Source organism: Homo sapiens, chromosome 13 (assembly GCF_000001405.40).
Source record: "Homo sapiens chromosome 13, GRCh38.p14 Primary Assembly".
NCBI classification, from domain to species: Eukaryota; Metazoa; Chordata; class Mammalia; order Primates; family Hominidae; genus Homo; species Homo sapiens.
In genome coordinates, this window is record NC_000013.11 from 29,914,163 (window position 1) to 29,936,139 (window position 21,977).

Here is a 21,977-nt window from a genome sequence, read left to right on the forward strand (position 1 = left end):
GAGTTAATTAGCCATTGAACTGTCAAGCCCAGTCACATCCAGTGAATTCTGACGTTTCTGAGAATAATCAGGGACTTGGCTGTCACATTTCACAAAGACCCAACCACTACGTGAACAAGTTCTACCTGCTTTTCCTGCACGATGTCCAGAAACACACACATAAAGGAGAATAATACCCAAAGCTAATTGCAGATCCTTGGGAGGAAGTGTCATGTTTTTGAAGAACTTATCCTATTTTTGCAGTGAAATATAATGACTCCATTTAAAGGGTAGAAGTCAGTGGCACTTTAAAGCCATCTGAAATCACTGGTGATAATAATAGCCAACATGTACTGTGTGCCTACTATGTGCCAGGCTCTATGTTAAGGGCCACAGAGCCTATGAGGAGGATACATATATTATCTCAATTGATACATGAGGAAACTGAGACACAGGATATGTAAGTTTTTCAGGGTCACACAGTGTCTTAGTTCATTTTGTGTTGCTAAAGCAAAAAGCCTCTATAAAGAAATAGGTTTATTTAGCTCATGGTTCTGCAGGCTGCGAAATTCAAGGTCAGGTGGCTGCCTCTGATGGCTTCTGGTGAGATCCTCATGCTGGGTCAAAACATCACAGAGAAATGAAAGGGGAACCAGATGTGTGGAAAGAGCAAAAAAATTGTTACTTCACTTTCCAACAACCTGCTCTTGGAGGAACTAATCCATTCCTGCAAGACTAACCCAGTCTTTCAAGAAAGGCGTTAATCTATCCTAAGACTTAATCACCTCTTAAAGGCACCACCTCCCAACACAGCTACATTGTCAATTAAATTTTAACGTGAGTTTTGCTGGGGACAAACCACATCCAAATTATAGCACATAGACAAGGTCAAACCCAGGCAGTCCAGCTCCAGAACTGGTGCTCTCAGCAATGGTGCTCAATGTCTCTTGGCCATACCACTGGACTACGCTGCTGTGGGACCAGCCAGCTTTTCTGGTGTACATTATTAGTCTCATCATAAAGCATCCATGATTCTGATTTCTTGCCCTCTAGGAACTGTTACTCAAGCGAGAAATAAATGTATCTGTAATATATTTAACTCATCCCATACTCAAGTGACTGCTTCTTAATTATCTCCTACCATCTTCATTCACTCATCAGATATTTCTTGAGCATTTACTATGTTCAAGACATTGTGTCAAGCCATGTAAGAGAGAAAAAAATTAGGGACTTCCCAGAAGGAACTTACACTCTAGTTGAGGAAATAACACATATAATATGTATAATAATATAAGACAAGGTGGTATAATACAAGGTAAAGTATAACACAAGATAATATAATACAAGATAAAAGTGGTAAGTACCACAAGAATAATATTTAGGGCTATAGTTATTCAGAAGAGAGAAATGACTTATAGGATGAGTGTGAATGTGTTTGTGTGTGTGTGTGCGTGCGCACTGAGCAAGGTGGGAAAAATTTGGTGCAGAGAAGATAGGAAGAAAAGAGATAAGGAAAAAAGAATCAGAGAAGACTATAAAGAAAGGAATGAGATAAGCATTTGCTATGGGCTCAATTATGTTTTCACAAAATTTGTAGGTTGGAATATTAGTCCCTGGTATCCCAAATGTGGCTATATTTGAAGATAAGGCCTTTAAAGAGGTAATTTTAAATGAGATCATCAGGGTGGGCCCTAATCCAATATGACCATTGTCCTTATAAGAAGAGGACATTTGGACACCAAGAGGCAGAAGGAGGACAACGTGAAGATGCAGGGAGAAGACAGCCATCTACCAGCCAAGGAGAGAGGCATCAGAAGGAACCAACCCTGCTGGCACCTTGATTTCAAACATCTAGTTTCCGGAAAATACATTTCTGTTGTTTAAGCCACCAGTCTGTAGTACTTTGTCATGGCAGCCAAAGCAGACTTGGGCTGATAATACAGCCTTGGAAAAGAGAGGGTTTGGACCTGGGGAGATATAAGCTGATGGAAGGGAATGGGGGAGCAAGTTTGGAACAACTGGATTTTATTCAGTGAATAATGGGGGGCTGTTGCAGGTTCTGGGACAGGAGTAACATGAACAGCAATCATTCACTGTATTTCATTCATTCGGCAAACATTTACTGAGAACCTGCCCTGTGCCAGGTATTGCCAATACCAGCTCCAGACCTGCAGCTACAAATAAAACACCTCAGCACAGTATTTTTCAAAGGAACCCATGACTGGGTAAGAAAAAAAAATTGAAAATGGGTTAGACTAAAGAGAGCATGGGGGTGGGGACACTCGTTAGAAGCCTTTTATCCTGGCCTAACTCAATGCTTTTCCATCTTCTCTGGAAAGAGTCTGATATAAATCCCCCAGGGAAGTGTCCTCCTCAATGTCCACCCCCACTCCTTGGCCCTGTTCCCAATCATAGGCAATGGAGCTGCCACATCTCTGCTTAGCTTCACTGGCCAAGAATATTTGGTTGAGCTTTGCCTCCTATAGTTAGCATTATGTGACATGACTTTATTATTCCTTTCAAATATAGATATTAAATTGAGTTATCTTTCCCAAACTCCACATTCTATCAGGAGATATTGAAGTAACTACTCCCCTCCCCACTCCAGCAGCTCTGCCCAATACATTCCTGCACCCACCACCACAGGCAATGGTGTTTTGATAGCAAAGAGCATCTCTGTTGGGTAATGAATGAAAAAACAAAAAAGGAAAAAAAAATATAGAAATAAGATCTCTACAGTGACAAATCTTTCCTCAGTGTGACAGGAAGAATAATGGTTCCCAAAGATGTCCACATCCTCATCCCTAGCACTGGTAAATATTTCACCTTGCAAGTGTGGTTAAGTTTCAGGCCCTGAGATAGTGAGATGAGCCTGGATTATCCAGGAGGACTCAATCTAATCACATCGTTCTTAAAAACGAGAAGGCCTTTCCCAGCTGTCATCAGAGGGAGCCGTAACTGTGGAAGAATGGTCAGAGACACGCACCGTGGCTGGCTTTGAAGATGGAGGAAGGGGCCATGAGCCAAGGGGTGGGGACAGCCTCTAGAAGCTGGAAAAGACAAGTGAATGGATTCCCCTTAGAGCCCCCCAAAAAGGAACACAGCTCTGCTGATACCTTGATTATAACCCATTGACACCCACGTCAGAATTCTAACTATAGAGTTGTAAGATAATAAATTTGTGTTCCTTTAAGCCACTAATGTAATTTGTTACAAGGCCAATAGAACACTAATGCACTCCATTTGCCATAATTCAAACAAGCTAGAACTTCTTATCTGAAGAATGCATCCTTTCAGGATTGCCTTTATAGTACCTTCCTGTTCACAATACCCTTGCCCCATGTGATAGACTCGTTGGTCTTATTTTTCCTCCCAGATTCTAAGCTCCTTAAGGGCAGAGACTGGATCATTTATTCCAGTATCTGTAGTGCCAGCATAGTGTCTGCCACATAGTAGACTTCAATAACTATAAATTAAATGAATGTATGGAAGCCCAAAGCTGCACAGAGCTTCATAAAGCCCCAACAGAACCTCCAAAGAGAGGCACTAGTGTTTCTTTTCAGACATAAAGGGGTCAAGTCTGATGTCACCATTGATGTATATATATGTCATTATGTTGAATTGAATTTCTGTTAACTGTAACCATGACAACAACACATCCCATTCACATGTAGAGAACAGTGAGTCGTTTGGACAAGCATCAGTGAAGGCCCGGCTTCCTAAGAAAACCTTTGTGCAATATGACTCCGAGCCCCTTTTCATGAAGTGTGCTCAACAGCAGGGCCTGTTCTAAATGGCTCTCTCTTATGTGGTTCATTTAACTGGTCCATGGAACCCAGAAACAAAGCTTCATTGCTTTGGATGCACTCCTTGTGAAATTATGTCTGTTTTTGCAAAGAAATGATCTTTTCATTCACAATTTTTCACTGTTGGGTAGAGAGCATGAAAGTCGCTTTCTAGAAAAGCTGATGGTGGGTAGTTAAAAAAGAAAGAATGCAGCTTCCTCCCCATTGTATCTTTGGTAATTATTTTCAACTGTCATGAGCAGAAACTCAGGAAGCTGGGGGAATGGAGTCTAGAAAAAGCCCTACTGGCCAGGATCTGCTCTATGGTTGCTCTCTCCACAATTAAGCTGCTCTGTAAGGGCACTCTGCAACCTCCCTGCTGTTGCTGCTTGACCTACCAGCCTCAGGCTACAGCTGAGATCCTGCCTCTGGAGTGGCTTCCATCCCTCCCACAAGGACTTGAAGAGCTTGACCAGGTACACGGTCAGACGTCTACCCACCCAACACTTGGGTCTTTGGGTAGCTGTTCTCCTTCCAGTTCACCTGTGGTGAGAGTTGACTTCTTATCTTCTCCCCATACCCTGAGGGCCTCTCACTGGAGACCAGTGTTTTCCCTCCTGCTTCCAGGTCCTCTCTGCAATCATTTGCCCATCTCCAAACCTGACTTCAGGTAACAGATTCGACTTTGCTCCAACTATCCCCAAAGCAGACCCATGAAAGTGTTCCATTCAGGACAGTTTATTATGGCCAGGCCATCCGAATGAAACGCAACTCTCTTCGGTGATGCTTCCTTCACTATAAACGTCACAGTGTTGAGAGACTGCTTGTGTGCACGTTTCCAAGTCAGGTGAACTTTCCCTTTTGGTTCCCAGTTCCAACTCCTCAGGCAAGGACATAAGGCTGGCCAGTGATGGTCCTAAATTTATCCCCATGGGCTGAGGGGAGCAATTCTTTCCCCTCCATATCAAAATAGTCATCTAGCAGGGGTTGTGGTGACTTTAATGTGCCCTGGGCAGTAGTAGATACAGGTTCATCAGGTCTTAGTCAGTAAACAGGAAGCGCATGGTTGCAGAGCAGAGCTGGGCAGCTGCCACACAATTTTTTTCTTCTTGGCTCATGTATGAGTGTTTCTGTGGCTCCAGGTCTCTGACGGAGGCATATCGAAATCAAGAAATATTTAATGAGTCACTAATATATATTAACCACTGTAACTTAGCTTGACCAGAAAAGAAAATAGATGGGCTAGCAATGAAACATTCGGAATAAACCCTAAGCCATTACCAACTGTGGTCATTGGTCATTGGAAGAGCTGAACTGAGGTCACAGCAGGAGCCCCAGAGCAGGTTCAGGGCAGGAGGAGCCTGGGGAGGCCCCCTCCCAGCAGAAGGGCTCAGTGGTGAGCAGCCGCAGCATCCTTCAGGGGAGGGCACCCATCAAACATGACTGTGCCCTATAGAGGCGGGCCAGGGACAAGGACTGGTGAGGAGAAGGCCCTCGTTCAGTCGAAGTGAAGAAGAGAGGCAGGATCTAGGGGAACACTGACATTAATACTCTGTTAAAGAGGCAACATCTCTGGAGAAGACCAAGAAGAGACAGATGGAGTAGAAAGATGGACTCTCTTAACCCCCTCATTAAGACGGGATAAAGGGCCAGGTGAGGTGGCTCATGCCTGTAATCCCAGCACTTTGGGAGGCTGAGGCAGGAGGATCACTTGAGCCCAGGAGTTCAAGACCAGCCTGGGGAACATAGCAAGACCCTGTCTCTACAAATAATTTAAGAATTAGCCGGGTGTGATGGCACACACCTGTGGTCCCAGCTACGTGGAAGGCTGTGGCAGGAGGATCATTTGAGCCCAGGAGTTCATGGCTGCAGTGAGCTGTGATCATACCATGGCACTCCAACTTGGGCAACAGAGTTAAACCTTATCTTAAAAAAAAAAGGGGGTTGGGGGTGGGGGATAGAGGAGGAAAATCATAGAAAAGCTGAGCTGACAAGTCTGTATTAGAGGACAAAAGCTGATGACTTGAGAGGAAGCAACTGAAGGTGTACCTGGGAGGTCACAAGCCTTTGGAGCAAGAGGTGTTACTGTGTGTGAGGATAGAGCTCTAAAGAAGGTACCTATTTTACCCAAAGATAATTAGTCAAGGATAGTTTCCTGCTGCCAACCTATATTGGCAAATGACCAACCCCCCTCTGTTCCCTCTAAAACTCCTCTTCCCTCCTTAGACTCCCTGCATGTAGGTTTTGCACAATGGAGAGGGCGATTGGACTTTGTTAGCAATCTGTCTCCATGGACCTTGTTGTAAACAAAGAGATCTTTAATTGGAGAGCATTTTTCCACGCAGCGGTCAATGTGACATATATGTTAACATCTTGCAACTGCTAAGCTATACAATAAAAAGAAGACATAAGGCTTCTTAGTCAAATGTATGTTTCTTTGATCACAGTGAAATAGACAGTTTAGAGCTGTCTTTCAAGTGACTCATGTCCAAATCAATAACCCAGCCCTGGACAGAAACAATCAGGATGGCCTCTCATCAGAAACAGGTCCATAGGGGTGAGCCAGCGGTCAACAAGTCACAGGATAAACCTGGTACAGCATAACAGGAAGGGTTGGATATATTATGGGATTAGAGGATTTACATGACATTTAAAAATAAAACACAAAACTGCAAAGAAATGTATCCTTTTAGGGCGCTGCAATAGGCCACACCCCCAGAATCCCAAGAGGTTCTCCCATGGAAAATTTGATATGCTTTGCTTATGGAAATATAAGGAAGTCTCACCTAGCTCAGAAGCCCATATTCTCATTTTCTTCACTTCCCCCCTTCATGAAAAAAATCAAATATCATGTGTCATCACAGACAAAGAAAAAGTGCAATATCTAAATAAATATGTGAGCAACAAAAATCCAAAATACATATAGAACATAGCTGCACACCCTCTTTCACATTAAAAAACAATTAACAGCAACCTCAGCTAACAAAGAAAAATGATACATGGGGTAATCCAGTGATCTGACAGGGCCAGGGGTGTGGTTCCTGACAATAAGGTAGGCTTTGTGGGAGGGTGTAGAGTAGCTCCAAGACGGCATGATCAAATATGAGGGCTGTAGGCTTAATATCTTCCCAGATGGCTTCAGCCTTCTTTCCTTCTTCTGTGGTCCACTGGGAGTGCAGTGGTCCAACCCTGCTTCACGCCCCTTTAGAGGAGGTTCCAGAGGCTCCCAGGTTGGCAGCTCCTCTGGAAACACTGCTCCATCACATGCCCTGTGCAGATACCTGCAGGGTGCCCTGTTTCCTCCTAGATCCCACTTAAAATCCCACAATTTAGGACAACTGCCCTTCCTAGCCTTATATTACCTTCTTTTTTTAACCTTAATCTGACCAGGCCATTTGCCAGCTTTCAGCTGCTTTCTTGGATTTCTAGGCACTATGCTTTTTCCCAGGAATCTCCTCCTCCTGCCACCAGTGGGTGGCCATCCCTGCCTAGCAGAATCTGGAGCTCATTCTTTAAGGCTCAAACTCCACTACAAAGTCCTGACTAATTCTGCCTCTCCTGTGGTTCCATCACTTTGTAGCTCTATGACAGTTGTCATGTTGCTTTGGACTTTTGGTCATTTGCTCTGACACTCAAAGCCAGCAACTTGAGAGTCAGCCTATGTTTTACTTATCTTGGTATTTTCCACACTCCTTACACATATGCGCCTTTCACCTGCTACGTCTCAATTTGTTTGCCTTGGACAAGTCACTACATGTAAGACTTGCTGTCCTTCTCTGTAAAATGGGTCTAATAATAATAAGTCCTTTCAGAAGGATTATCAGAATTAAGTGAATTTATGCAAGTTCAGCATTTAGTGCACAACTTGACACATAATGAGTGTTACTTGCTACTAGCATCAATAATTTATAAAAATAGAATTTTGGCCAGGCGCAGTGGCTCACGGATGTAACCCCAGCACTTTGGGAGGCCGAGGCAGATAGATCACGAGGTCAGGAGATGGAGACCATCCTGGCTAACACGGTGAAAACACGTCTCTACTAAAAATACAAAAAATTAGCTGAATGTGGTGGCAGGCGCCTGTAGTCCCAGCTATTTGGGAGGCTGAGGCAGGAGAATCGCTTGAACCTGAGAGGCGGAGGTTGTAGTGAGCCGAGATCGCACCACTGCACTCCAGCCTGGAAGACAGAGCGAGACTCCGCCTCAAAAGAAAAAAAATAGAATTTTATTTATTTCATGCTATAACAGTCTCTTTCCAGCTTTTGGGACATTTCTTAATTTCCTTCCTTAGTGGAGAAAAAAGTACTTGCTATGTTTTGGTGTTCTTATTCCTAGCTGTGCATTGAGATCATCTTGAGCCTTTAAAGATGTTGATGCCTGAGACCCGCCCTCCAGAAACCGTCGTTCAGTGGGTGCGGTATAGCTGTGACTAATTTTTGTGGAGCATTTCTCATGCAGATCCAGGGTTGATAACCCCTGCAAATCACTAGATAGCTTACCACTTCCACCACAGGTCCCTTGGGCCCTTATTTCTCGAGTAACAAGCTGTAATTCGGGGCAATTCAATCTCCAGAATATCCTACTATTGATACCCAGAGATGTACATTTCACCTTTTGTAACTTCACCCCTGGTCACTCCGTCCAAGCTCCCATGATGACTCAGCATTCTTAATACCTCTTGGTTTTCCTTCTATTTCTGTAACAGTAAAGTACTTCTTCAGGATAACTTACTACTAAGTAATAAAAACATGAACTAGTGGTGAGTAGTAGGGGAAGAAGAACACATAAAATCTTTCCAGCTCTCCATTTCTCATTTCTCCTCCCTAACTCATGATGAGTGGTAGGCCTGATCCCATCAGCCATGAGTGGGGAGGGCTGAGCTGAGGGCATGCATAGGAATGGCCTGGCCCCTGGGCCCACGTGAGCAACTGCACGGACAGTTGGGCTATTATAATAATAAGTCTAGGGTAATTGCTGATAGAGAGATGCAGATCCCTATTTTTTGCCCTGTAGCCGCTTAAAAACCTTTGTTCATAATTGTAGATGTAAAGCTTGTACTTCTTACTGGGCATTGGATTTCAATGGGAATTAGGCCAAAATATGGACCAGAGAATTGGCCCCACTGTGGCCAACCTGGGAATGCTGAGTCAGTCCTGTTCTGCTGACTCAATTCTCTCTTTGAACTGCAAGACTCACAGTCTAAGCATTGAGACCAGTGGTTCTATTGCCAAGACAAAGGGGAAAAAAGGCTGATTAAATTTGAGACATGGCAGATAATGCCAAAAGGCAGAGGCAATGTGATCTCTGAAGAGAGAGAGACGGAATATGTGTTTTGGAGATACGAGTATTGGAAAAATGGAAATCTCATCATAAAATGACTGCTGTGAAGCAGTTGCTCTGAGGAATCCCCCTTTACCCATGTCCTCTTAGATTCCCTCTTTCTTTGTTCCCTTAGACTCTTCTAGTTCCAGATGGTCTCTGGTGGTTGCTGTTGTTTTTCTAACAGCCCGGGTTTTTAAGTCACTTAAAAACCCACATGAAAGGCCCATGAAATATCAAGGTGATTCTGAGGACTGGCTCCATTTGCTCCAGAGCCCGAGTTCTGGCTTAGGTAGAGGACACCCCAAGGAGACTCAAACCACAGATCCAACTTTGAGCTGCTTCCACAAGCCCCAAAATGCCTTGAGCCTAATCCAGACAGGCTTAAAAGTTTAGCTGGACAGGATCTTGGACATAATTTTTACAGGTTAGGAAACTAATAGCTAGAGAGGGTAAGTAAGTCACCCAGATCACATATCATGCCTGCGACAGAAACAGGACAAACACCTGCCTTCCAACAGTCATGCACTTGCTGGGTTCCTTCTCTGAGCTGGGGAACGCCAGGCTAGCCCTAGAATGGCATGCGAGGCTGGAGAAGGAGACTGTTCCCAAGCCATATACCCCATGGCCCTTCAGTTTTGGGTGAATGCTTTTGAAAATTCTGTCTAGGCACCAATTACACAAACAAAACAGAAGAAGTGGAGACTGGGCGAGCCAGCCAGAGAGAACATTCTTTATGTATGAAGTCACTGGCTTTCAGTGCAAACTACTTACAGAAACAAGGTTCTTGTGTGGACTGCCACAAGTAAGGCTCTCCAAGGCCTCTAGTTGCAGCAGAGAAAATGTGATAAATCTACAAAACGTTCTGCAGCTTTACTCAGCTCTTTAAACTCAAATATTTGTTTTGGATGAGGAAATGGCTCAGGGCATGAGCACAATCTCACCAAGTGTGTGATCCTGGTGCCACGTGGCCACAGCATGATTCAGGATTTCTCCTGCCTTAGCCACTCCTCTAACCAACAACAGCACCTGAGTCACACTCCTGGCGTCCTTGCTGGGGCTAGGACCCACCCCTCCATTGGCAGCCTTTGTCTCCGGGGGCACGTGCAATACAGCGCCCCCTGCTGGGCACCCTGTCCTGCTCCTCTCCAGCTGGGTTTGCCTGCCTGGACTGGCTGCCCAAATTCAAGACATGGCAGCTAATGCCATGTGCGACTTAAAGGCTCTCCGCTTCCTATTTTACAAGAGGCTCTGTCTGCTTAAAGTGCTCAGTGCCTGGTGATGCCATGTTTTTTCCTGTCGCTAGCCCCCTCAAAAGAAGGAAATTCATTTGGGAGTTGTTTGAGGTGGATGAGGACATCCTTCCTTCACATCTTTGGTGTCACTGGAACAGGTGGAATTCCTGGCTGGAGGCAGGTGATGCTCCGGTGAGCACATCAGAGGCAGCAGCCGCAGTCTGCTCACCCTGCAGCTGAGACGGGGGAGAAGCTTCGCCAGCTGCCTCATCAAATGGAATGCAAACAGAGAGGAGAGCCCCACTTGCTCATCATGCTCCTAGCTACTCCAGCCTCGCTCCAGGGTGCTCAGGGCAAAAGAGGGCAGCCCTCTGCCAAGGAGGGCTTCCTGGTGTGTCTTTCCATGGAGGAAGGACTCCTCTGGGAAGGACTCCTGCTGGGGGACTTGGGGCATCTGGATTGCCAGCTGTACTCAGCAAGGAGCGGCCGCAGAAAGTTCTGAGTGCTTCTTGAGGGAAAGCATAAGCCATCAGCAGAGAGGGAGAGAGTCAGAGCAAGAGCGAGAGCGAGCGAGAGAGAGAGAGAGAGAGAGAGAGAATGGGCCTCCCAATCTACAAAGTCCCTGCACCAGAAGTAAGGACATCAGGCTTGAGACCTTGAGGCTGCAGCTGTGCACACCCATTCCCCCAGCCACTGCTCATGCCTGCAGTTCCTGCCACAGAGAGAGGCCTTCCACCCCACAGCTGAAAATAAAACTTAAATGCACATACCCCTTTGACGGAAAAACAGTGACTTCAAAACCATCAAAACAAGAAGTCACTGATTTTAAATCCTTTACTGAGATTGATAGGGAAAAAGGATTATGCAGGAGCTGGACGTGAACCGTGGCTGCTACACAATTTGGGCTAGGGCTTACTCTTCTCTCATTAAAAAACCCTATTTATTCCACCAAAGTAGGTAGAGTTCTCCCTCTCCTCTTTGGATTCTCTACTATATTCCTTAGTAACGTCATGAGGCTTTCTCAGGACTAAGCCTGCAAGTTGTCTATTAAGCCAGCTTTCCAGTGGGGACTGCCTAATATTGACCAAATACTTTAGAGAGTCATATCATCTGTGAGCTGGCAGAGATCCAGAACTCCAGTCTAGCACTCACATTTTACAGACAAGGAAGCCAGTGCCAGGGCCTTAGCCTGGTTTCACAACTCTTTCTCTGGTTCTCTTGGTGACTGACAACAAAACGACGCCTCCCTATTCTGGTGTGGCTTGGGCTTCTGGCTGCTGGCACAGGAATAGCCAAAATCCTTCCTTTCAAGCTTTCTGTGTAATGGAAACCCTGCTTGACTAATTAGGGCCCACCTCTCTCAAACTCCTGAATCACTGGCATTCATTAAATATAGAAAAGCATTTTATCCCCCTAATGAAGGAGAACTGGAATAACATAGATGAGTCACACACACTGAAAACTGTCATGATATTCAAGAAAGGTGACCTTCTCTCACACCTGCAGACCTGGGAGGGTGGATTGAAATCTACATCCAGTTTTCTCCTTGGGCTCTGACTGGCAGGAGGGTTTGTTGCTTGTTTTTTTTTCTTTTTTCTCCAGTTCCTTGTAGTAGGATGGAGATGTGGGTTCTGTTTTATGAGGTGTGGATTGCGTGGGCTGATGGCGTGGAGGAGGAGACTAGAAGAAAAGCAATACACACACACACACAGAAACACACACATACCGCCCCCACACACATTAATGCATACACACAAACCCCACAAAAACACACATGCAGAGATACACATGCACACACTCATACCACACACACAGACACAAACACAACCATACACTCACAACACACAAATGCACATATCAACACACACATAGACACTCTCACGCACATGCAAACACTCAGACACATACACCCACTCACACTACACACAAACACAAATAAATATGTACTCACATTCTCTCTCACACACACTCTCTCACACACACACTCACACACACACACATACACCTTTGGTTGCCACAGACCTTGGTGTTTGTTCCCACTGGCTGGCTCAGCAGAAAATGTGGCTGAGTTGTAAGACTCTGTTTTGAATGTGGGAGTTGGAAAGAGCAAAGATATTCTTCAGGTTCAGGAAGGCACCGGCCAACAGGAGCCGAAGGAGGAAGAGAGAAGAGATGATTTTCTTCCCTAAGAATAACTTTTGAAGGTGGAGCTGAATTTCACCTGTTCACCTTGGTGATGTCACTTTACCCCACTGTTTCTCAACGTGCAGTGCCTCTGATGAACCTGATGCCAGGCCTGTGAGGTACACCTTTAGCCACTTCTATGATGCCAGTTTTTGTTGACAACACATGTTCTGAATGCACCATGGCTGGCTGACTTTGACTGGGCAGATAGCACAAATCTCCAGTCTGAAAGTCATCATAATACTTGGAATGTTTAGAAAAGTCATAACTTAGGGGTGGTTCGTAACTTCTTAGAATTGTGCTTCCCTCAAATTATATATAAGCAGAAGAGAGCAGCTTTGGATGATGGGAGTAATTCAGGAGTAACCAGGGATCCCTAGATCTGGAAGAAGGAAGTAAAGTTAGTGCTTTCTTCAAAGGTTTCAATATTTCCTTATATTTTAGTGCAGCTTAAATCCAAAATCATAACTAAGGATATCTTTGCTATGGGAAATAGCTTGTTAAATGGATGCTGTTGGCCAATTTAAAAAGAATGACATGAAATGATTCCACAAGCTGCAGATCTACAGATGGGAATTAGATTGGGTATTCTGATTTAAGGAAACAAATTTGAGAGAAAAAGAATTCCATTTTATTGCAAAATTAGAGTTGAATAAATCAGGTAGGTAATGAAAGATTCAGGGAAAGATGATACTTCTAAAAACAAAGTTCTACAATCTCCAACCCAGATTTCACAAGCCCCCAGGATTGTTTCAATTTTGTCAGTGGGCTTAAAGAACTTATCCAAAAATTCTTAAAATAACATTAAATCCTTTAAAGTATTTTGTAAGATGTAAGAGTGCCATTGTAAAAAAGAGAATAGGGATTATTATGACATCCAACTAATTATGGGATACTGCAAGCACCAGAAGTGTAGTCATTGCTGAATTAGTTTCTGAACTTCCAACTCAGAACAGATCTGGATTTGCTCTACAGGGTGTGCATCTCTTATCAGATTTGGAATATATATATATATATATATATATATATATATATATATATATATTGGATTTTGGAATATTTGCATATACATAATGAGGTATCTTGGTGGTGGGACCCAAGTCTGAACAAACACGAAATTCATTTATGTTTCATATACATCTTATGCACATGGCCTGGAGGTAATTTTATACAATATTTTAAATGAGTTTGTGCCTGAAACAAAGCTTTGACTGTGTTTTAGCTGCCATCTGTCACCTAAGGCCAGGTGCGGAATTTTCCACTTGTGGTGGCATGTTGGCAACCAAAAAAGTTTTAGATTCTGGATAATTTTGGATTTCAGATTTTTGGATTAGGGATGCTCAACCTATATTACTTTAAGGAGCAGTATTGCTGCTCCAAACAGGGTGGTCTTCTCTGTGGGAGTCAGAGAGATTATAGATATTTGGTGCTTTAAGTCCCATTAAGTTGGGCTACTCTTTCAGAAATAAATGATCTCAATTAGTATAATCTCCATAAAGTGACACCACTTGCTTATGAAACTCATTTTCTTTTAACCAAATGTCCCCCAAGTGCTTTAAAATCATTAGTAGGTTGCTGAATGAGAATGCAGGGAAGGAACTAGCACCTAATACTTCTATGTTCTTTATGGACTTTTCTCTTTCCAGAAATAAAAGCATTGCCTACTTTCCTGTGAACTACATTTGTGTTGAGAATTAGTTCACAATGAAAAGTGCTAAGCATTACTATATCCCCTGTAGTAATAACACAGGTGTTATAGACACAACCATGGTGTCCAAATGAGGACCAGCAGAAGAGAGAACCAAAAAATGCATGGATGTGGGGGCATGGCAGAGAAGTTGAAATGAAGTTTCTGGGGAAACTGGATTTTATCCCTATATTTCTTTATGTATTCAGTTTAGTCTATCAAAAAGGAGCCCTGCAAATAAATTTTCTTCATAAAAAAAGCTGATTAGAAAAGGCCATTTTAGGCCAGGCGCAGTGGCTCACACCTGTAATCCCTGCACTTTGGGAGGCCAAGGCGGATGGATCACCTGAGGTCAAGAGTTTGAGACCAGCCCTGGCCAACACAGTGAAACCTCATCTCTACTAAAAATACAAACATTAGCCAGGTGTGGTGGCAGGTTCCTGTAATCCCAGCTACTTGGGAGGCTGAGGCAGGAGACTTGCTTGAACCCGGGAGGTGGAGGTTGCAGTGAGCCGAGATTGCACCATTGCACTCCAGTCTGGGCAACAGAGCAAAAAAAAAATTTGTCTCAAAAAAAAAAAAAAAGAAAGAAAGAAAAGAAAAAGAAATGGCTATTTAAAAAATGTGAAAGTTGTTTTTGTTTTTGTTTTTTTGTTTGTTTTGTTTTGTTTTGTTTTCACTTGAGATAACCAGAAACCTTGTTAAACCTGAGAGGCTGATTTTGTCTGGGATACAAAGATTAGAAAGCATTAGACCAGGAAGGACTTCATTTGAACCTGCCTGAAGACCCATTTCAGTTCTGTTAACCAGAACTGTGCATTCTTCAACCAGAAGCACAATGGGAAATGGGGAGGAGGGAGGAAGGGAGCCTGGACGGAGGGAAGAGACCTACCTGCCTTAGCCTGACTTCCCTAGAAAGCAGAGCCTGAGGCAAAGTATGTGTGCTATTTCTAGATTGGGGAGTGCCTTCCTAAGGACAGAAGAGTGAGGGAAGAGGGGAGCAAGGCAGAAAAAGAGGGAGAGCCAATAATGGGTAACTGAGCTCGCTACTGCTGGATTTTCAGCTCAATCGATGATGCAATCTTGCAGGTCCATCTTCTGACAGGCCATGTGAATGGCTGCATCTCAGGACAGCCCTTCTGTGGGAAAAGAGGGATACAGTTTAGCCATTTGCTGCATTCGTCTATGGGTCAAAGGTTGGCACGGCAGATGGTGATGCCCCTTGCTTCTGGATGGACACAGGTAGACACTATGTGGTCCGTGGATGTCTCACGACAGAGCTCAACAGAAAAGCCCCAGGCTGGAGGCGAGGCACTAAGCAGTTGCTCATGCATGCCTAGGATGGGAGGCAGTTTCAAGCTCCTGAGAAGTTGGTCACAGCCCGTGCAGAGTTGCTCAGCACGCAGCAGCTGGAATAGAAAAAGGGGCCAAAGACCTTAGAGATGTGAAACCCAGAGAATCTGAGGCATGGTACAAACCCCTACCTAGATTTCTGTTGGAAACACAGCCTTTTCTGTCTTTGAGTATGCTCGATACTGGGGATTGGGCATCTGCTGATGTCCATACATGGTAGACTGCTTGCTGTTTCTCCAGTATTCTTTTTCCTCTTCTTAGTAATAGAGCCCCTAGGTTTTAACTGTGCACTTGACTTCACAGAATAAAGACTGACTATACATTTTCTAGCCTCCTTTGCCAATTGGTGTAACCATGTGACCTAGTTCTGACCAGCGAGATGCAAGTGGAACTGATGTATGCAACTTCTGACATGTCCTTAAATGGAAGGGACATGCTCGTCTTTGTCCCCCTCTTCATTCAGGTAGCTGGAATTCAGATGTAATGGTTGGCACTCCAGTGGCAATTGTGGACCATGAGGTGACCTTGGGAATGGAAGCTGCATGTGGTAAGGCAAAAGTCACAAGGAGCCTGAGTCCCTGTCACTACAGAGTCACCAAACCAACCCTGAACTGCTTACTTCCAGACTTTTTACAGTGGAGAGACCTAAATTTTTGCTTTACTTAAGCGACTGCTATTTTGGGTTTCCTATTCCTTTGGCTGAACTTTTGTTGTTGTTGTTGTTGAGACAGAGCCTCTATCACCCAGGCTGGAGTGCAGCAAGTATAGTCACAACTCACTGCAGCGTTGACCTCCTGGGCTCAGGTGTTCTCCCACCTCAGCCTCCCAGGTAGCTGGGACCACAGGTGTGCACCACCACACCTGGCTAATTTTTTTGCATTTATTGTAGAGATGGGGTTTCACCATGCTGCCCAGGCTGGTCTCAAACTCCTGGGCTCAAGCAATCTGCTCACCTCAGCCTCCCAAAGTACTGGGATTACAGGCATGAGCCACCACACCCAGCCCCTTTGGCTGAACTTAATTCTAAATGATACAGCATTCAAAGCAGGGAGGATATAAAGGGAAGAGGGGCATAAGTATCCACTTTTAAGAATGACTCGGCTGGGCACGGCAGCTCACGCCTGTAATCCTAGCACTCTGGGAGGCCGAGGCAGGTGGATCATCAGGTCAGGAGGTCAAGACCATCCTGGCTAACACGGTGAAACCCCGTCTCTACTAAAAAATACGAAAAATTAGCCAGGCGTGGTGGCGGGCACCTGTAGTCCCAGCTACTCAGGAGGCTGAGGCAGGAGAATGGTGTGAACCTGGGAGGCGGAGCTTGTAGTGGGCCGAGATCGCGCCACTGCACACCAGCCTGGGCGATAAAGTGAGACTCCGTCTCAAAAAAAAAAAAAAAAAAGACTCTCCTTTGTCTGTGTCCCACTACCCCTACCTTCTCATAGCACCTTTGACTACCCTGATGATAGTTAACACGGGCATACCTCACACATATTGTGAGTCCTGTGCCAGACCACTGCAATAAAGCAAAATCACAATAAAGTGAGTTGCACATTGTTTTGGCTTCCCAGTGCATACAAAAGCTATGGTTAAAGTATACTCTAGTCTGTGCAATAGCATTATGTCTATGAAAACAATGTACATACCTTAATTAAAATACTTTGTTGCTAAAAAAAAATGCGAACAATCATCTGAACCTTCAGCAAGTAGTCATCTTTTTGCTGGTAGAGGATACTTCTCAATGTTATGGCTGCTGACTGATCCGGGTGATGGTGGCTGAAGGTTGGGGTGACTGTGGCAATTTCTTAAAATAAGAAAACAGTGAAGTTTGTGGCACCAGTTGACTCTTCCTTTCATGAAGATTTCTCTGTGGTATACAGTGCTGTTTGATAGCATTTTACCCACATTTTACCCTTTTGTCAACTAAGTTTTTGGAGTAAATACTTTGTTGTCGTTTCAACGATGTTCACAGCACCTTAAGAAACCACTGTCTTTGGTTGTGCATAAGAAGCAACTCCTCATCCCTTAAAGTTTGATCATGAGATTGCAGCAATCCAGTCTCACTTACAGGCTTCTCTTCTAATTCTAGTTCTCTTGCTATTTCCAGTGACTTCCTCAGCTGAAGTCTTGAACCCCTCAAAGTCATCCAGGAGGACTGGAATCAACTTCTTCCAGACTCTGGTTAGTGTTGATATTTTGACTTCCTCCCAAGAATCACAGATGTTCTTAATGGCATATAGAATGGTGAATCTTTTCCAGAAGGTTTTCAGTTTACTTTGTCTAGATCTGTCAGAGGAATCACTAAGCAGTTATAACCTTACAAAATGTACTTCTTAAATAATAAGACTTGAAAGTCAAAATGACTCCTTGATCCATGGGCTGCAGAATGACTATATGTAAACTATCAGAAAAACAACATTCATTTCCTTGTACATCTCCATCAGAGCTCCTTTGTGAACAGGTGGGCTGTCAATAAGCACCTAAGTAATGAGTAATATTTTGAAAGAAATGTTTTTTTCTCAGTAATATGTCTTAATTTTTGGCTTAAAATATTCAGTAAACAAAATATGCTGTAAACAGATGTGCTATCATCTAAACTTTGTGTTCAATTTACAAAACACAGGAAGAGTAAACTTAGCATAATTCTTAAGGGACAAAGGATTTTTAGAACAGTCAATGAGCACTTGCTTCACCTTGAAATCATCAGCTACATTAGCCCCTGAGAAGAGAGTCAGCCTGTCGCTTGAAGCTTTGAAGCTAGGCATTGACTTCTCCTCTCTAGCTATGAAAGTCCTAGATGGCTTCTTCTTCCAATAGAAGGCTGTTTTGAATACATTGAAAATCTATTGTTCAGAGCAGCCACCTCCATCAGTGATCTTAGCTAGAGCATCTACATAACTTGCTGTAGGTTCTATATCAGCACTTGCAGTTTCACCTTGCGCTCTTATGTTATAGATACAGCGTCTTTCCTTAAACCTCATGAACCAACCTCTCCTAACTTCAAACTTTTCTTCTGCCACTTCCTCACCACTCTCAGCCTCCACAGAATTGAAGAGAGTTAGGGCCTTCCTCTGGATTAGGCTTCGGCTAAAGGGAATGTTGTGGCTGGTTTGAACTTCCACCCAGACCAGTCAAACTTTCTCCATATCAACAATAAGGCTGTTTCTCTGTTTTATCATTCATGTGTTCACTGGAGTAACATTTTAAATTTCTTTCAAGAACTTTTTCTTTGCATTTACAACTTGGCTAACGGTTTGGAGCAAGAGGCCTCACTTTCAGCCGAACTAGGTTTTTGGCCTGCCTTCCTTAATAAGCGGAATCTTTTCTAGCTTTCAAAGTCAAGTGGGAGACATGCGACTCTTCCTTCCACTTAAACACTTAGAGGACATTGTAGGGTTATTAATTGTTCCAATTTCAATATTATTGTGTCTCAGGGAATAGGGAGGCCCAAGGAAAGGGAGAGAGATGGGGTAATGGCCAATTTGCAGGGCAGTCTGAACACATACATTTATTGATTGAGTTTGCTGTCTTATGTGGGTGCAATTGGTGGCACACCAAAACAATTACAATAGTAACATTAAAGATCACTGATCACAGATCATCAAAACAGATATAATAATAATGTAAAATATTGCGAGAATTACCAAAATGTGACACAGAGTCATGAAGTGAGTGCTATTGTTGGAAAAATGGCCCTGATATACTTGCTTGACACAGGGTTGCTGCAAACCTTCAATGTGTACAAAACACAGTATCTGCAGAGTGCAATACAGCAAAGCACAATAAAATGAGACATGCCCATCATTGCTACTACTCTGAGACAGGCATTATTAGGCACTGTACCTCTGGTATCTCATGGAATACTTTAAATGCTTCTATGAAGTAGGCATAATTACTACCGCTATGGCTGTTTTTCATAGTTGGTCATCCTGCCCCGATCCTTGCTCCTCTGCAGTCCGTTCTCTACACAGTGGCCAGATGGATTCTCCCCCATGCATCGTCTCACTGCACCCTTCTGCTTCGAATTGCCCCATGGCGTTTTAGTTATATAACACCATCACCCCCAAACATAGTAGCTTAAAAAACAAAAATGATTTCTGTCTTTGTTGATGAGGAATTCAGGAAGGACTTGGTCTGGTAGTTCTCCCTGGGAGGTCCCTATCACAATTGCAGTCATGAGTTGGCTAGGCCTGCCATCATTTGACGTCGTGATGGGGCTAGACAGCCTGCTCCTAAGATGGCCCAACCACACACCTGCCTGGGAAGCTGGGACAGGCTGGAGGCTGGAGGTCTCTGTTCTCTCCACACAGGCTTATCCAACAGAGCTGCTGAGTGTAGGGCGTGGAGGTTGGCTTCGCCATGGGAGCAATGCAAGGTGCCAAGATGGACGTGGTATTGCCTTTTATACTCTAGTCTTGGAAGTCACACCCCATCATGTCCACCATAAGCTAGTGGTACAGGAATTTGCAAATATCTGCTTGGGTTTGAGGAGGGAGGACATAGACTGCGCCTCACTATGAAGTCATGTCAATCATCAGTTGTGGCACAGGGTATGTAGTGGGGTTTATATTGGGGTCTGGGGAATATAAAGCCTGTGTCCAGAACCAAAGCACTGTTCTACCCCTACACAGAACACTCTCTATCCAAAGACCCTTTGGTTAGCATTGCTTTTTGCCATTTCGGCCTTGCTAAGGCATGAGAAATGTTGCCACATCCGTTGCATCTGCTACAAAGGCATGCTAGTAATTATCAGTGATAACAGAATGAAAAGAATACAGTTGGTTTTGAGCTTCTAACATATGGTATTGTTGGCTCTTTCTGAGAAGAGAGATCCTGCTTGTGCCCAAGGAATCCCTGAGGATCCCTACGTAGGACCCACTCATCCCACTGCTTTGTCTCTCTACTACAGGGCAGTCTGTGTCCAGCCACTTCTGGGAAGTGGAGTATCTGATTGGTTACCCTGTGTCATAAAAGAGAGGGCATCTGAACTAATCTCTTTATGCAGAGTTTCACAGCACTTCCTCTGGGTCACACCCTCATAGCTCCATTCAGGCAAGGTATAGATTTGAGTAGAAATATCTGTCCTGAGCATCGAGGTACCGCGGTGATGCAAATGTAAGCCCCAGCACAGACAGCATGTCTGTGTTTCTAGTGAGCTGGCAGATGGCTTTTAAAGTCAAGTTACAAGTGTGTCCAGGCACAGGGACAGCTGTGTGAGCAAAGGAACACTTTTGTGCCAGGGAGGGAGAGAGGACCAGCTCTAGGGGGAACTATAGGCTCTGCAGGCTCAGAAAGAGGCAGGTGTGATGAAAACCTTCCAGGAGCACCTCATCACTCCGTTCAGGCCTCCTGACTCATTAGGAGATTCTGGTGACACCCCGCCTCCCTGGCTTCAATCTCTCTAGCTGTAAGCCTGGGGATTGGAAGACTTGGCACAGTCTTTCCTCCCCAAGGGTGCCGTGCTGATGATGTTTGCAGAGTGCATCACACTCCTCTGATAAAAGGTGTCTCCTGAGTACAAAGTATCATTGTCACTATATTCCACAATGTGGCTAAATATAGGTGTGCACCAATCTGCTGAAGAGCAGAGTGTCTCTTCAGCATTTGCCTGGGAGGAGCAAGTGGCCCAGTGGCTGCATAGGATGCAGCAGAAAAGAGCTGGCATGCAGCAGCAGTGTACCTGAGACCAGGGCATGGGGAGAGGGAAAGGCCCTGCATGCCCCCCTGGTGGGCAGCCCCAGCCCACTTGGTGACAGTGAGGCCTGAGTGCAGCAAGGCTGGAGTCATGCTGTGAAAGCCCACAGTAGCAGAGCCCCTGCCAGGAATATAGCAAGGAGATCACAGATCACAGAGTACATTGCACCTGCCCCATGCAGTGGCGGAGCAAGACGCTCAAGGGTCTGGAGTTAAGAGGGACCATTTGAGGTTAAGAGGGAAGGAGTCTCCCTTGTTTTGGTTTTTGTTTTTTGTTTTCCCACACAGTCCCAGAGGGTACTGTGGTGTTCTGACACACTCCCTGTGTCAGAGCTGTTTTTTCATTATGACCAAGACAGAGCAGGTGTGAGAGCTGAGCATCCTCCCCTTGCTGTGCTCCTCTGGTCTCCAAGGCACCCTCCCCATGCGCTGCTTCCTTCCACTTACCGCCCTCGCACGGCACCACATCCTGAGCTCTGCTTGTTCCCTCTTCAGACTGGCAGGTGGTTATAGAGGTGTTTGGGGTGTCAGCTCTGAAATGCTAAAAATAAAACCAGGCTTTCTATCCTGGGATGTCTCATTAGTTTGCTTACAAATGAGTCCCCCTGCAGTTTTTCAGCAATTGGCTAACAAGCTCTAATTTGAGCGTTTGGGCTGGACCTTGGCTCAGTGGGAGCAGACGCGGAGCAGACGCCTTCTCGGAGCTGCCTGTTTGGGGAAGCTGGTCGTTTCCACTCTAGCTCA

The 21,977-nt window shown here is 44.6% G+C and overlaps 1 long non-coding RNA gene across 1 annotated transcript, besides 3 other annotated features; it reads right to left on the reverse strand.

The window, feature by feature from the left end:
- Positions 1-4,484: 4,484 nt before the first annotated feature.
- LINC00572 (long intergenic non-protein coding RNA 572) lies at positions 4,485-12,489 on the reverse strand. The gene is made up of 2 exons (NR_047501.1): positions 12,341-12,489; positions 4,485-4,910 (listed from the first exon to the last, which is right to left on the reverse strand). It is a non-coding gene; the product is annotated as a long intergenic non-protein coding RNA 572 (long non-coding RNA).
- Positions 20,653-20,712: an enhancer, noted in NCBI's record as "active region_7527". NCBI's record gives its function as "activates an Ori minimal core promoter by ATAC-STARR-seq in GM12878 lymphoblastoid cells {active_cell/tissue: GM12878}" and the evidence as "EXISTENCE:reporter gene assay evidence [ECO:0000049][PMID:35858748]".
- Positions 21,433-21,552: an enhancer, noted in NCBI's record as "active region_7528". NCBI's record gives its function as "activates an Ori minimal core promoter by ATAC-STARR-seq in GM12878 lymphoblastoid cells {active_cell/tissue: GM12878}" and the evidence as "EXISTENCE:reporter gene assay evidence [ECO:0000049][PMID:35858748]".
- Positions 21,683-21,802: an enhancer, noted in NCBI's record as "active region_7529". NCBI's record gives its function as "activates an Ori minimal core promoter by ATAC-STARR-seq in GM12878 lymphoblastoid cells {active_cell/tissue: GM12878}" and the evidence as "EXISTENCE:reporter gene assay evidence [ECO:0000049][PMID:35858748]".